General features: G+C 40.1%; 1 long non-coding RNA gene across 23 annotated transcripts in view, besides 1 other annotated feature; it reads right to left on the reverse strand.

The window, feature by feature from the left end:
- The window catches only part of LINC03007 (long intergenic non-protein coding RNA 3007), a 196,819-nt gene that overhangs the window by 57,015 nt on the left and 124,451 nt on the right, over nucleotides 1-15,353 (reverse strand). For 5 of the 23 annotated variants that reach the window (NR_157808.1, NR_157810.1, NR_157809.1 and 2 more), the window contains exons 2-3: nucleotides 11,355-11,416; nucleotides 7,645-7,778 (exon numbers count right to left, since the gene is read on the reverse strand). This is a non-coding gene — a long non-coding RNA (long intergenic non-protein coding RNA 3007). Of the gene's footprint in view, nucleotides 1-2,458; nucleotides 3,428-4,890; nucleotides 7,779-11,354; nucleotides 11,417-12,430; nucleotides 12,826-15,353 lie in introns of those variants that run through there. The other 18 variants (NR_157813.1, NR_157816.1, NR_157818.1 and 15 more) reach the window with 16 other exon arrangements.
- Nucleotides 5,102-7,681: an enhancer, noted in NCBI's record as "VISTA enhancer hs1600". NCBI's record gives its function as "enhancer in: forebrain[4/5] | limb[3/5] | branchial arch[4/5] | nose[4/5] | facial mesenchyme[4/5]" and the evidence as "EXISTENCE:transgenic organism evidence [ECO:0001131][PMID:17130149]".

Genomic DNA, 15,353 nt, shown 5'->3' on the forward strand with positions numbered 1-15,353 from the left:
TCTACTGCTCCCATACCTGCAGTCTCCTCCCATCAAAGTGAGGAATCTGTTGAGAGTTTTTTGAAGTCATAACTTCCCACTTTGCTAAGAATATTATAGCCAATATACCACAACATCTTTATCCACTGTGTGTTTTTTCTCTCCTACGCTGTAATTAAAATGTCCAACATTTAAATACTTTCTATTGTTTCCAGCTTAGTATGGGCAAAGGTTGTAATTCTGGGATAGACCTAATTACAAAGTCCCATGTCCCATTCTGAGCCAATTGCAAGCTTTTGCAAGAATTTTATAATCTGGAGCTCTGACATTTCCCAAGTGAATATCCACAAGTAGTGTTAGTGCCCGATTGTCTGAAGAAATATTGATCTCTCCAAGCTACAAGCATTTCATGTTTGGAGAATATATGATCCACACTAGATATTATTCTTGATCTACACTAGATATTCTTTTACTCCAGATGTAATCTACATTGAAGATTGTGAAGGATCTGTAGTTCTTTTTCTTTCTCCATCCATAATAAGCGCCATTCTCCAGTTCCTACAGGTTGTTCCTAGGCTTTATTTACGTATCTCGTTCTTTCAGAAAGTCCTAGACTGATGTTGTATTTTTCGAAGTAATGCTACCTGTTCTATCAGCAGAACCCAGAAATTTCAGTGGTTTAGCAAAAGGAAAGTTTCTTTCTCGCTCATGTCACAGTCCAGTGAGATTATTCCTGATTGGGAAGCTCTCCTCCATATGATGAATCAGGGACCCAGAATCTTCCCATCTCGTGGCTGAGCATCTTCATCAGGCAACTCCCAAAGCTGCCCTAGAAGTCATTTCCATCGTAACCAGCTGAAGGGATAATGAACATGGAGAACCTCACAAGGGAGCTTGAATATGACAGGCCTCAAAGTGGTGTAATTACTGCTGCTCATGTTTCCCAGGCTCAAACCCAGTCACACAGCCACTTAATTGCAATGGAGGTTGGAAAATGCAATGGGCTGTGTAAGCCCAGGGGGAAGAGGAAGCAGGTTTGCTAATTCCCAAGCAGCCTCTGTCACAAGGGCTTTTGCATCCTTTTGGACATCGTCACTGATGGAAGATGGCCATAGGACTGAAACAGCTGGCTTGCTCCGTGCAGACTTCTCCTTCCTGGTCTTCTGATTTCTGGGTAAGGGAACTCCTGGGCCTGCCCATGGGGAGCATCTTCTTTTTTTTTTTTTTTTTTTTTTATTATACTTTAAGTTTTAGGGTACATGTGCACATTGTGCAGGTTAGTTACATATGTATACATGTGCCATGCTGGTGCGCTGCACCCACTAACTCGTCATCTAGCATTAGGTATATCTCCCAATGCTACCCCTCCCCCCTCCCCCCACCCCACCACGGTCCCCAGAGTGTGATATTCCCCTTCCTGTGTCCATGTGATCTCACTGTTCAATTCCCACCTATGAGTGAGAATATGCAGCATTTGGTTTTTTGTTCTTGTGATAGTTTACTGAGAATGATGATTTCCAATTTCATCCATGTGCCTACAAAGGACATGAACTCATCATTTTTTATGGCTGCATAGTATTCCATGGTGTATATGTGCCACATTTTCTTAATCCAGTCTATCATTGTTGGACATTTGGGTTGGTTCCAAGTCTTTGCTATTGTGAATAATGCCGCAATAAACATACGTGTGCATGTGTCTTTATAGCAGCAAGATTTATATTCCTTTGGGTATATACCCAGTAATGGGATGGCTGGGTCAAATAGTATTTCTAGTTCTAGATCCCTGAGGAATCACCACACTGACTTCCACAATGGTTGAACTAGTTTACAGTCCCACCAACAGTGTAAAAGTGTTCCTATTTCTCCACATCCTCTCCAGCACCTGTTGTTTCCTGACTTTTTAATGACTGCCGTTCTAACTGGTGTGAGATGGTATCTCACTGTGGTTTTGATTTGCATTTCTCTGATGGCCAGTGATGATGAGCATTTTTTCATGTGTTTTTTGGCTGCATAAATGTCTTCTTTTGAGAAGTGTCTGTTCATGCATCTTCTAAGACAAGAAAGGAAAGAAAAAGTGGCAAAATGAATTACCAATAAATTATAGCTCCTTGGTTATCAGGGACACGTGTGCATACATTAAAAACAATTAAGCAGACATGATAGGAAGCTAAGTGTGCACAGTGAGAAGCTCTGAGAAGTAACTGGTAGGTGGCCCACACAATTTCAACCCCTCCTTAGTACACAGCTGGGGCTGGCATTCTGCTACAGATCTGCTAAGTCACCTGCCCTTTACTCATTGTTTCCCTGGTCCCCAGCATCAGAAGGAAGTTCAACTAGGGAGTTTGATTTTGCTGAGCTGGACAAAGCAATTTTCTGGTGTCATCTCATTTGCTAGCAACTGTGAGATGTCAGCACCATGCATGGTGTGGACCCAGGTGGTATGTGCATGCCCAGATACACAAAGAGCATACAACAAATGTCTGGAGAACTGTGAGAAAGACTCTTTCAGAGCAATAATTCTGTGTGATATAAGAAAGCCAGAGAGTTAACTGTCACCAAGGTCCTGGGAGTAATTTGATTTTTATGGTAAACCGGGAGACCTTTTTCCCTACCATTCCTATTTTGAGTGTAACTTTATCTTGTTTGCTTTTATGGATGCTAAAGGCTGGAAACCTTTAACACTGAGAAAGTTCTCAGATTTAATCTGGACATTGTTCAGCCAGATTTGCCAATCCAAATGGGATTTTCGGCCTCTGTGGAGAGAAGGGATCTGGAAGCAGGGAGATGCACAAATGCACAGTCACCTCTTCTTCCCAGCCCTCATTGCTAAGGCCGAAGGAAGAGAAAGAGGTCAAAGAAAGGGCTGGGTATTCCCCTTTAGGCTCTACCTTCCTGAGAAGAGTTACCCTGTGTGGGTTTCCTCCTGATCCCTGACATGGAACAAACTGGATCCCAGAAGAGACTGGGTATCTGCGGAGCTTGCTCTTTCGTGGATCTGGGGGCCCACAGTCTTCAGCCTACCACAGAAATGTTTCATTGCTTGGGCGAGAGACCTCACTAGAGCCCTGTAGCCCCCCACAGGGGAAAATCAGCAGGGCCATTTTGTGTAGTGCTTAGGATTAGAATGCCTGGTGTTCAAATCTTTGTAAAAGTGTCCTGTGACATTATTACAGTGCCCTATGTAATTCAACTGCTCAAAATGCATTTGAGAATTTGTCACACTTCTTGCTTTGCTTCTTTCTTTTTCTCTCTGGCCTCCCATATCATATTTCTTTAAGCGATCATTATCTTCACAGCCAGTGAGCAGGAAGAGGAAATAAATGAATGTCTCCTTCCTTCAGTGAATGAGGAGGGGCCCCCTCCAGATAGTCCTTTATATCCTCTCCTGAGAGACATTTGATTCCAAGTTGATCACGAAGGTCATAGTTCACAGTCAACACCCAAGCATCTACACAGCAGCATTAAAAAGAGGAGTTTTGTCATCAGTGATGAAAAGGAGGACAATTGGGGAATTTCAAGTAGCTCTAAAACACAGTAGAGTTCTCACACTCAAAAGCAGACAAGGGTCAACAGGTAATGAAGAGTGAAACTGGCTGGGAGGAGATTGGGGGCAAACTGAAGAGCCCTTGGCCCACTGGAAGGGCCACCACTCCCCAACATCCATTCATCACTGCCAGGCCAAATGGGGGGCCACTGTTGCTAGATCCATTGATTTTCTAGAGAAGCAGGGGAAAATGTTCCCATATGAATTATCCCATTCTCCAATACTGAAAATTAATTCATGCTTTCAAAAATACTTTGCTGGCCAACCCAGACACACTGAATGGTGGATGTCCATGGGGACTTCACTTTGCAACCTCTGTAAGTCTACCTCTCTACAAATAATTGAGGGCCAGCTATTATTGATATGCTCTTCTTGTCCATTTGTACATTTCCTGGTCATAGGACTTCTGTGTGAGGTAGTAAAATGAAATAATCCTCATTAAGAACATATCACTAGAGACCAGGAGCAGTGGCTCATGCCTATAATCCCAACATTTTGGGAGGCTGAGGCAGGAGGATCACTTGAAGCCAGTGAGCTATGGCCTCCTGTGAGAACCACTGCACCTACTGGACAACAGAGTGAGACTCTGTCTATAAAAATATAAGTAGATAAAAGTAAAAATAAGAACATTTAACTAGGAATACAGATAAAATAAATTCAATCTACGGTGGAAAGTAAGAAGCTACCTCATCTCCTTATAAAACTATGGTCTTTTCTCAGCAGTTTAAATTATTCAACATTATTAGATGTAATGTTCATTGAAAGAAGATTTTTGAAGTCATTCAAATCCAAGAATTTGTTCTTAGGAAGCCTGGCCACAGACATTACTAAACAGCAGCATTGGACAACTGTGGAAAATTCCTCTCAATCAGACCTCAAGAAAGATCTGTTGATTGATTGGAAATGGGAGAACTGCTTGTCCTCAGGAGGACAAGAAGAGAGGATTTGAATAAAAGTGCTGAAAATCTGAAACAAAGAAAGGGTCCTGTAAACAGCCTAGATAACTGGGCAGACAAGCCTGCCTGACTTACGAAGGAATATGACCCATCCATGATGGGTTCCATTAAAGGATCAAGGAGGCCTTCATAAGGAAGATTGGAGGACATGCCTGTGGCTGTATGCACATGTATGTATGTGGCCTTTGGCTAAAGGCCTGGACCAGAGTCCCCCAGAGTTTGGAGTTTGATTACTTCAAACATAGACATCTACACTACTAGATACATCTTCTTTACTAAGTGTAGGCTTCACCTCCATCCCACTCCCACCCCCAAACTCATCCCAAGGTTGAGAATCACTAATTAATTGGCCTGAATTCATAGTCACTGGACAAGGTTATTGGACATACACTGATTTCGTTATCACACACCTTCTAAAAGTTAATGAAAGGTTTTTATTAATCCAGGTTTTAATAGGCTACATTTCTTCATACCTAAAGAAGTAAAATGGGGGAAAAATTGAAAATAGTAACAGGAATTGATTATTTTTAATCTTTGTAAGTTCAAGATAACTCAGTTGATTGTTTTGTATCTCTTTGACAGAAAAACGAAATCAGGCACACACAAAACCGGATTCTCTGTGTCCTCATGAAACCTGCCTCTAAGGATGCATTTCTATTTATTTTTTAGTAGAAAAATTATCTTCCTTATGGTTTGCCTGTGCTTCCTTTTCATTGCTGCAGGGTTTCAGAGCCTGGGGAACTGGGCTTCTGGGGTCCAGGAGAGTCAGTGATGCCGGCAGATGCTGTGTCAGTGCCTTGCACGTGCCATCCTGGATCTTACGGAGGTCAAGATTTTTCCTCCTTCTTTTGTTCATCTTGTTCTAGGGGTATGAGAGTGCTTCTCCCTTGTTTAAGAACCCTAATTAGGGATTTTAAATCATATACTTAGTAATAACTGTAAGAGCAATTTTTAAAAAGTTTACAACAGGGTAGGAAATACAAAATAGTCACACTAATATAAAAAACACCCTCAAAAATAAAATGCATAGACAAAATATCAGAAATATTTTTCACAATTTTCCTTGGTCATGGGAGATTTTTCCAATCTTCTTTCTACAATTAATCAAAATGAAATGCCATTTAACTTCAGAGAGATGCTTTTTTTCCTTTGATGATGAAAGCAAATAATGGAAATAAATGAGAGTTTTATTACATTCAACTTTTCTTTGCTGAACATCAATTCATTCTATAATTAAAAATGTATTTTATAATTTACACATTTTTAATTTATGAAGTTAAGTGTCTTTGTTACCTGGTCTCAGTCATCTACAGCAGGGAGCAGGGACAGGATGTTATGAACTGATGGTCTCCACAGTCCAGCCCCTAGTGCTCAGAATCCAGGGGTACTCAGGCACTGGACGTTGGATCTCAGCATCAGCAATGAGCTGCATCATCTCTGACAGGAATGGGTGATAAGAACATTTCCCTTCACCATTTTTAAAAGCCAGGTCCTTGATTTGCATGGGCAGGAAGGGGGAACATGGTTGTGGGGGTGGTTAGTTTACCACATCACATTTTCACATTTTCATCTATCATAATTTAGATCTTTACATTTCTTGAGTTGGTGACTGATAGCCTCCAAACACATAAACACTCTCCACCTGTACAGAATGCACCAGGGACTCTGCTCTCATAAAGTCAGGACCAAGGTAGAAGTGAATAAAATTCTAAAGCCCACTCCTTAGCAGTAGTAAGTCCCAGGATCGGCCACGGCTACAGAAGGTGACAGTTTCTGGATGCTGTCAGTTTGCAGCAAATTGAAGTTTTGTGGTTTTATCTATTACCAGAAAAGCCCTCCAAAAAAATGTAGCCAGTGGGGAAGAAAGCAGGAGTCCACCGTCTCATTTTTAACAAGGACCAGCTGAAAAATGAAGGCGCACACCACACAAACCAGCTTATGTCTGCCAATTCATTTCCTGGCCCCAAAAGAAAAAAAAAACCCTCGTGTTTCCTCTTATGCAGGCCAAACATGGCAAAGCACCAAGGGAATTCTGAATGGAATCAATTGCACTTGTTACTAACTGAGTTTTCTTTTATTCTTATATTACCAAGGGCTGGATACTCAGCTGCAAGCAATTATAATGAAGAGTTACTGAGTAATGGTTTCCAGATTGCTCCATGATGGGGCATTAATTGAAAGGGACAATTTAAGAGCTTAGGCCATGTAAATGCATTTCTTATTCTGTCAGATTGAGAAATTTCTGGATGCAAAAGGCTGAAATGCTTAGAACTGATAAAGACTTAATAATGCCCATTTAAGCCGGTATTTTCAAAACGAGTTTCATGTTTTTAAGAGAACAAATATTAAATGGTGAACCTGTGAGCTTGTTCATTCAACCAGGACAATGATCTAAATAGCACATTGGCATGCTGCACTCATATTATAAACATATACATTGTATAAAATGTGACTTGTTTAGTCTGTTGCATTGCAAAGCCGGTTAAGTTTGCAAGTAAACTTTTATTTTTCAGTTCTCATGCTATTATGATGCATATTGAGCACCCTCTCTTGCTCTCTTGCTCTCTATATATGCTTTAAAATTTTAAACAGCATTTAAAAACACATAAATTAGTTTTATATGTGTATGCATGCTTTAAAATTTAAAACATTTCTAAACAGATTTGCTTGCATATGAAAGTGGACCTTCTCAAAAATTAATTGTGAAGTCCGTATCAGAAAGCTTTATTTTGGCTTTTTTAAAGTGGGCTTTTATTTCCCTGAGCCGCATTAAGCCGTAACATTTTCAAAGAGGTTCTCTGATATGCCACATTAAAGATAAGTATCATAAGACAGTAAGACAGTTAATGCCAAGCAAGGAAGAAAATCACCAGCTCTCTCAAAAAGGGGGAAAAAAAGAGTAGTACTCGTTTTTAAAGTCTAATTTCAGACTTCTGCATTAGTACTAGTTTTACTTATGAAAACGAAGGAAGAGAAGGAAGGAGGGAGAGAAAGAGAAAGAGAAAGAAGAAAGAAGGAAAGATGGATGGATGGATGGTAGACAGAAAGAAATAGATGCAGATACATTTTAAGACATGAATTCATCGTTGAGGAGAGATGGACACCACTGCTTTTTCTCATTCTGTTTTCTAAGTCTGAATTGCCATCTGAGAATTGGACTTTTACCTTTCCTTCTGACTTCAGTCTGGCATTCTGGATTTGTGCACAGTAGCTGTGGTGCTGATGGTAGACTTCTCCTAGAGTCTTGACACAAACCATGACATGGATGGCAACATAGGCAGAGGAAAGAAGTTGTCAACCTGGGGAAATTGAGAGCATTCAATCCAAGAGAATGAAAAGGAAAGGCCTCGTGTTATACTTGTTATTATACATTGCCCATTTTTACTCATTCATTCAACAAGCTATGTTGTACCCTTTCTCCATCTGTACTTCACATGCTGGCAAAGCACAAAACAAGGATGAAGGCATCTTATCTATTCATGGGCATATCTTCATTTATTAGACAATTCCTAGACTCTTCCTTGGATGGAAATCTTCTTTCTTATTGGATTAGTCATTCATAGAATGAAAGCCCTGAATTAATATCTGACTCTTCACCTTGGGCTGTTCTTTATCTGATAGTTGTGAAAGTAAGCTCAAGCACCAGTGAAAAAATCTGGTGGTCTTTTCTGCTCACTGTAAAGTCAAGGTCAAGCCCCATCAGAATGTCCCAAACAGAAGTCAAAAACACAAGCACTTGAAAAGTGGAAGGTCAATTTGGGACAGGGTTGAATACCATCATAAGTAATAAAGTAATCCAAGCTAATTATTCAAACAGAACTGTCAAGAATCCAAGATGAGATAGGGAAAGCATTCTTTGCCAGCAAAAAGCATTGCCTCAAATGATCCCTTTTTAGTCACAAAAATCTCCACTATGTATCTGTCCTTTACTTTGCTACCCTTTCTTTTTTCCATTCATTGCTGAAATCTGACATTTTAACTGAAGGTTCAAAACCCCTTTATTTATTTCCAAGATTTAAGGGGAAAAGGTTTCTTTTAAAACATCCTGAATTTAAAAATAAATAAACTGAACAGGAAGACTTAGACTGTCTATTTCAATTCATCTTGTGATTTCTCATTTTGTGGATTGTACTGATAAATTATTGTAAGTCACATCGTAATTTTGCCTAAGAAATGTGAGCATCATCGGGTGTTTTTAAAATATAATAGGGGCCCTCTTTCACCCAGCCATTTCCTGGGCTGCTGCTGTTCCTAGTAGCAGCCAAACACCTGAACAAACCCAGGAATTCCGGGCCAAATGGTTCTGATAACAGCAGATTTGGGTAGAATTGATTTGATCAAATAACTCATACAAAATGCAGCTTAATAGGTGTCCTTATTCTCAGGACTCCACTCAACTAGAGAGAAGAGAGTGAAAACACATCCTCTTTTGATAATGTAGTTTATTCCAAAAAAAATTTTGTACGAGTACATACACACATATTTGAATAATATATGAGTGTAACTACTACACGAAGGAGTATCATTATAATCTTGGATCCTGAACATATGCTTAATTTCAACAGCTTACAGAAAAGAATTAATGTTGCATGCATAAGGGTGCAGTGAAAACTTTGGACGTTGAGTTAGAGGGTTGGTTTTGTTCTGTTTTTTAACAATTTCAAAGTTCCTAAAATGCAGATAGTATGAAGAAAAGAACTGATTTTCTACATGACTAAAAATTCAGAGTCGGCAAGTTCATGCTTATGCTAAGCAGTTTTGCTTGAATCAGTACCTGGAAAAATTAAGGTAATTCCTGTGTTTACAGGCTCTATTCAAGCAAGGCAGGAGCAACATTTGAGAGGGATTAACAATCAAAAATTGAAAATCTACCATCACCACACAAGCTTGCCTTTTCATTTTGTACAGATCATAAAACATGTAACACGGACCAGACCCTTGTCCGGCAAATGTTCACATCCTAATTTTTAAAAATAGCTTTTATACACAATTGCTCTCTTTGCAATAAAACAAAGATTTGTTTATAGCTACAATTTAATTAAGAACCTTTTCGAAGAGGAAGATCTGGAAACCAGGGATCTTATTTTTTCTTTTTTTTTTTTCCACCAGGGTTGTTTGTTTATTGGTTTAATTTTCCCTGAAGTAAAAATACACTTTGAAATGTAACATGTCATTATGTAATTTGTAGTAACAAAGTGCAGGCCCTTGCACACGACAGCAAACAGGACCGCTCCGGCTCACAGACAGTCCCCATATCCACAGCCCCCTCCCCAGTCTGATTAACAGCCTGTATAAACATTCAGCCAACCAGAACAGCGGCCAGTGCACAATTTGGTCAGCCATAAAACTGCCAGCCAAACACAGACACGGGGGGGTTATGCAGAAATCTTAATTTGGGGGAAATGATCAAAACTGAGACAACATGGCCCCCACAGAGATCAGGAAGAGCTAACCTTTATTTTCATTAATCCCACCCCACCTCCCAAATAGCAAGGGATGCTATCACCACTGAAGGTAAAATGATAAATAAAATGTCCCTGAAATGCAGCGTTGCAGAGGGAGCATGGTCAAGAGCTCCACCCCTGAACAGCAAAATCTTAAGGGCAAAAATAAGCTTCTATTTTAAGGAGCAATTTTAAATGGTCTGAGTTATTTGGGAAAGGTCCTATTTTGACATATCCAGAATGGATTCCCTCCATCAGCATGTTTTCTATTGATGCAAGGAAAACTAATATGTATTCTAATTGTGCAGAAATTGGTGAAATTTATACAAAGGGTGTTTTGTGTTTTTTTTTTCCCTTCCCACCATTTTCATTGCCCTTGGCAAAAGACTTTAGACCCTTCACATAATGGAAAATTCAAAATGTTCGACGTAAATCAAATAATTAGTAAGAAACAGGTTTTAAAAAGTTTTTTTTTAGAATACTCTCGCAAGATGGTGAACTTGTTTTTTCTGGCTTGGGACAGGATTTCATAGCTCACTTTTGAGACTATATGGTACCCAACTTTTAACAGAATTGAGTCTTTTAAATATTCTCTTTTCTGAAAATATGCTGGTGGTAATGACAGTGATTGAATTAGCTATAGCAAAAAGACATTGCGTTAGTCTAGTTCCTTTCTCCTGAATAGCTTTTTGCTAACTGGTTACTATAGAGCATTGGGCTTCACAGAAATTTTTCACAATTTTCACCTTTGTTCTAGTCTTGCTCCTTAATTTGGAATCTCTAATTTGTTTGAGAAAAAACAAAAACAAGAAAGCATGATCAGCCACCTTACCAATGCTCTCCCAGACCGGGTTACCCACGTCTTCCTTCGTATATCTAATTGTGCTCACAAGCGTTTATTTTTTCCTCTCGTAAGAAACCTGCATGCTTTTTTCTAGGTGGCTTTCTGCTAAAGAAATTAATAACTAAACATAATGCAAGCTCCAAATAAAATGAGAAAATGTATAGATATATTGAATAATTATTTTTTCCAGGCCTTAGGCAAACCACTTGCCATTTCATTTAATTCTCACAAAACCTATGAGTTGGGTATATGTATTATCCACACTTTTTTTTTCTTTTCACAGATTAGGGAACTGAAGTACAAAGAGTTTCAGTAATTTGCCCCCAAGCCACATAGCATGTGAACAGCAGAGCGAGAGTACTAGCTCAAGCAGCCTAATTCAAGAATCAATCTACTGCCCCTCCTAGATATGATGTTATTGTCTTTGTCGAGAGGTAGGTATGTCTCAGATCCTTAGGGTCATTGCAAAGAGGTGGACAAGGAGCCCTCCATGATGATTTCACTTAGTTAGTAAGTGAGGTAGCCTGGTTAATCTAAGGAGCATCAGTTTCAAAGTTTGAAAGCTATGGGTTTCTTCGCAAGCTCACCATTGATTAGCTGCAGGACCTTGGAAATGTTTACTCACATATCCCAGCTTCTGTTTCCTCATCTGCAAAAAAGAAAAAATTTTGTGAGAGTTAAATGGAATGTCATTTTTTTTAATGCTTCACAAACATATAGAAGATTTTCAGGTCTTCTTTTCTCTCCCCTAGCTAATCCATTTATATCACGTTGTGATCAGTTTTAATCATTATAACATTACAAATATACTTTATGAAATTACCTTTCTAGGGTATAGCTTGATGAAAGGATTTCATATCTAAAACAAAATTTTAAACCGAATATTTGGGTACATTTTTTTTAACTCATTGGATCACACTAAATTGTAGATACTCTAAAAAATGAGTTAGGTCTCCTAAGTATGGCTGAAAAGTAGGCACATTTGCCTTCACTCCAAAAACCAGCAAGATAATTTCTAATATTCATGAATGTTCATTTCAAAAGCATATGGCAATTGCACATGGGCTACTCTTTGGTCAGCAAGTTAAAGAAGAGCAGAGATGTCAAAGAAGCTTCCTCTCTGATATCATCCATCAACTTATGGTTGTTGGACCTTCTCTGTCACAGCCTGCCTTCAACCGATTCTCTCTCATTGTTGGAAAAAGGGAAAAATGAGCAAAAACTACAACAAGCAATAATTCAAATCATTGCCCAAAATGTTCTTCCAACTCTGTGAGTTACATAACCTTAACCTATCTTGAAAACCACAGATTTCCATCTCCTTGGGATGGCAGAAAGCAACAGAATATTCTGAATGACATTTTCAGGTTTATGGGTTTGACATATCTTTCAAAACATTTCCGAATTTTCCCCACTTCATTCCCCAACACCTCCCAGGAGCACTTGCAGAGAGCAGGCCTAATGTTTTCGATGATAAATTAGTTGTCAATATATAGACAAGTTACTTTTTCCAAAGCCTCTTGGAGCAGAAGCGTATTCTACTTCCTCTCAAAGGCCCTAGAACTACCTGTGTACTGGCATGCTCACAAGAAAATTTTTATTCACAAGAATAATCTGTTGAAAGGAGGATAGATTTTCAAATGGAGTTTCAAATAATCCTCACCTTTGAGATCATCCGTGCTCACAGCCCAGTATTTTTACAAGATGAAATGATTTACAGAATCAAGCCTGGAAAAATTGGAGGGCAACTCCAAAAGGCAAGAACATGTTGCCGAGTCAATCATTCATCCTGCCAGGGAAACTTTTGTAGTTTCCAAACTGTTATGAGACACCGCTCTCTATCCAGGGCAGAGGAATCGTTGAAAAGGCAGGAGGTATGCTGGCCACACAGCCAGCATGGAGAGCTGGAGTTTTTGGCAGGGCACTTCCACCCCAAAAGCAGACAGAGTCCTGGAAGGGCGTTCGTGTAAACAAAGCAGGCAGATAGCTTCAACTCTGCAATGAGGCGCAACCTTTCCCAGATCAAAGCCTGGATCACAGAGACAGCCCTGAAGAACTGAGTGTCCTTTCTGGAACATCCAGCTCCAGGGGAGAGACTTGAACTGGAGCCACAACTTTGCCACCTGTAGCCAATGACTTGGCACACGAAAGCTCTCACAGGGTGGGGAGCCTGCAGCTGCTCCCACAACAGAAGATCAATGGAAAGATAAGACAACACAGGGAAGAAAGGTTTCTTACTCGAGATACTGAAGCTGAGATCATTTAACTAAAGCTTGCATCCAGGCAACCCAAGTTCTCTATGCAGTGTTGAAAGGGGATGGAAATCAGTACAGGGTCATAAGCTCTGAAGCCAGGTTGCTGGGGCTTTGACTCTCTACTCTGCGTTTACTAGCTGTATGACCTATGCCTCAGTTTCCTTACCTTCAGAAGGACCTAATAGTGCCTCCTCCATAGGATTTAATGAGTGACTGGGACACTAGAAAGCTCTCAAAATGTTGCCATTATTATTTGAAGTTACACAGACCTGGGTTTGAACCAGGTTTGGCTACTTAGCACTTTTGTGAACTTGGAGAAATGACAATCTTTGGGTGAACTCCCCAAGGGTAAAATGGATGTTAATACGGCCCTTGCAGTATTGCCATGGTGATTTAATTTTGTATGACACACAGTAGGCACTCAGTAATTGGCACTTCTGATTATTTTCATTTTTCCTGGTTTCTGACAGAGAAACCTGACAGGACTGGTGAGGCTGCAAGAAACATAGCCAGTAAAATTTAGGATCCTCTTAAGTCCCCAAAGCTTCATCCATATGCAAAAGAGATACATCCCCAGGGAAGACTGGGTCCTGGATGTTTTTAAATACACAACTTATTTTATTTTAAGAGCAAAAAGAGAACCTGGAAGTGTTCCCAAATTTAACATCTGCAGGCAGATAGGATGACGAAATGTATTAGTACTGAGGAATAACTTTCTCCCGTCTTCTTGGAAAACATCTGGGGTATTACCCTTTCCTCCACTCATTCCCCCACCTCTTACCCCAAAGCTGACTCTCAGCCGACAGTTTATCAGCAATAAATGGAAACACCTGTGTGGCAGATAAGGCCAACTGAGTGTGATCAGCTGAGGAAACCTTAGGGACGCATGTCACTCAATATTTCTTTTTCCATGCCAGGCAGGGCAGAGGCACAATCTAGCCTGTGACAGATGGCAAGGTTCACTTTCTCATTCATTCATTCATTCATTCATTCATTCAGTTAGTCATTCATTCAAAACAACCTCAGGAGGTCAGCAGGCCCAGCTCCCTGCCTGAAATAGGTCAATGCCTGAGCCACCAGGTGAATTAGAAGGCTATTGATCCTGCTTTTAACCACATCTGCAAAAAGACATTCTAGAAACTAACTCTGTGTCTTGTTCAAATCTTTAATCACCCTTTCTTTTGTGAAACCAAACCCCCTCCAGCTACAATTTCTCATCTTTATAGAGATGAGAAATATCATCTTCTGTACCCCATGGCCAGTCAAAAAGTATTTTTATTGCCATCTCTGCTGTAATAACCTCCCCAAACTTGAAAACTCTAAATCCGGTTTTCTTCCCATGTCCCCACACCATATTAAACAATCCCCACCTCCTTTGCTCTTTCTTCAAAGGTCCTACTCATCTACTCTTTAATTAGCTTGTTTCTTTTCTCTCAACTCATTCCAGCATCTACACATCATTTAGAAACCAAAACTTGACACAGAACTCTAATCGTTGACAAGAGATGTAGCTGCTATTAAAGTGAAAATGATCCATTGTGTGTTTTCACAAAGCCACTACCTGGACCCCCAAGCAAGTTACTTAACATTTCTGTTTCCTCACCTGTAAAGGTGATTCAATCATAAAGAATGAGGTCTGTGAACATGACATTAGGAAGACCTACCAGCAGCCGGTAGTCTGTAAAAGGTAAAAGTACTTCTTTTACTTCCTAAAAGAAGTAAGTTCAGAAAGACATATAGAAATTAACCAGGTCAAGAGAAGAAAGCAATCCTACCAGAGGCAACTGCCTGTGCAAAGGTCCTGAGGCCTGACCTGAGGACCAGGATGAGTAGATCCCAGAGAACAAGAAAAGGGTTGTGAAATGAGGCTGGTGAAGGAGGTAGAACCCAGATAACACAGGTCCATGTAAGCCAGGAGTTTGGTTTTTTTTTTCAAGGCACTGGGAAGATGATGAAGTTATAAGCAGATTTATATATTTTTTAAAGGCTCCTGGCTGCAGAATAGGTTGGACACAGAGAGGATGTGGGGAGAGTAGGAAGCTCTCCAGGTAACCCAGGAATGAGACTGTGAGAGCTCAGACTACGGTGGCATTTGTGAAGATGAAGAGACATGGCTAGATTTGGAAATGAGAATTAACAGCACTTCACTGATTCACTGAATATGGCAGTGAGCGGGAGGGAGGTGTCCAGGGTGCTGCCAAGTGTCTGATTTGCTCATCTTGGATGGCGCTGCTGTTTACTGAGGTGGAATGCTGGGGGAGGAATGGGTTTGAGGAAGAAGGCATGAGTTCAGTGTTTGGACATGCAGAGTCTGAAGTGCTGTGAGATGGC

Source organism: Homo sapiens, chromosome 7, assembly GCF_000001405.40.
Source record: "Homo sapiens chromosome 7, GRCh38.p14 Primary Assembly".
NCBI classification, from domain to species: Eukaryota; Metazoa; Chordata; class Mammalia; order Primates; family Hominidae; genus Homo; species Homo sapiens.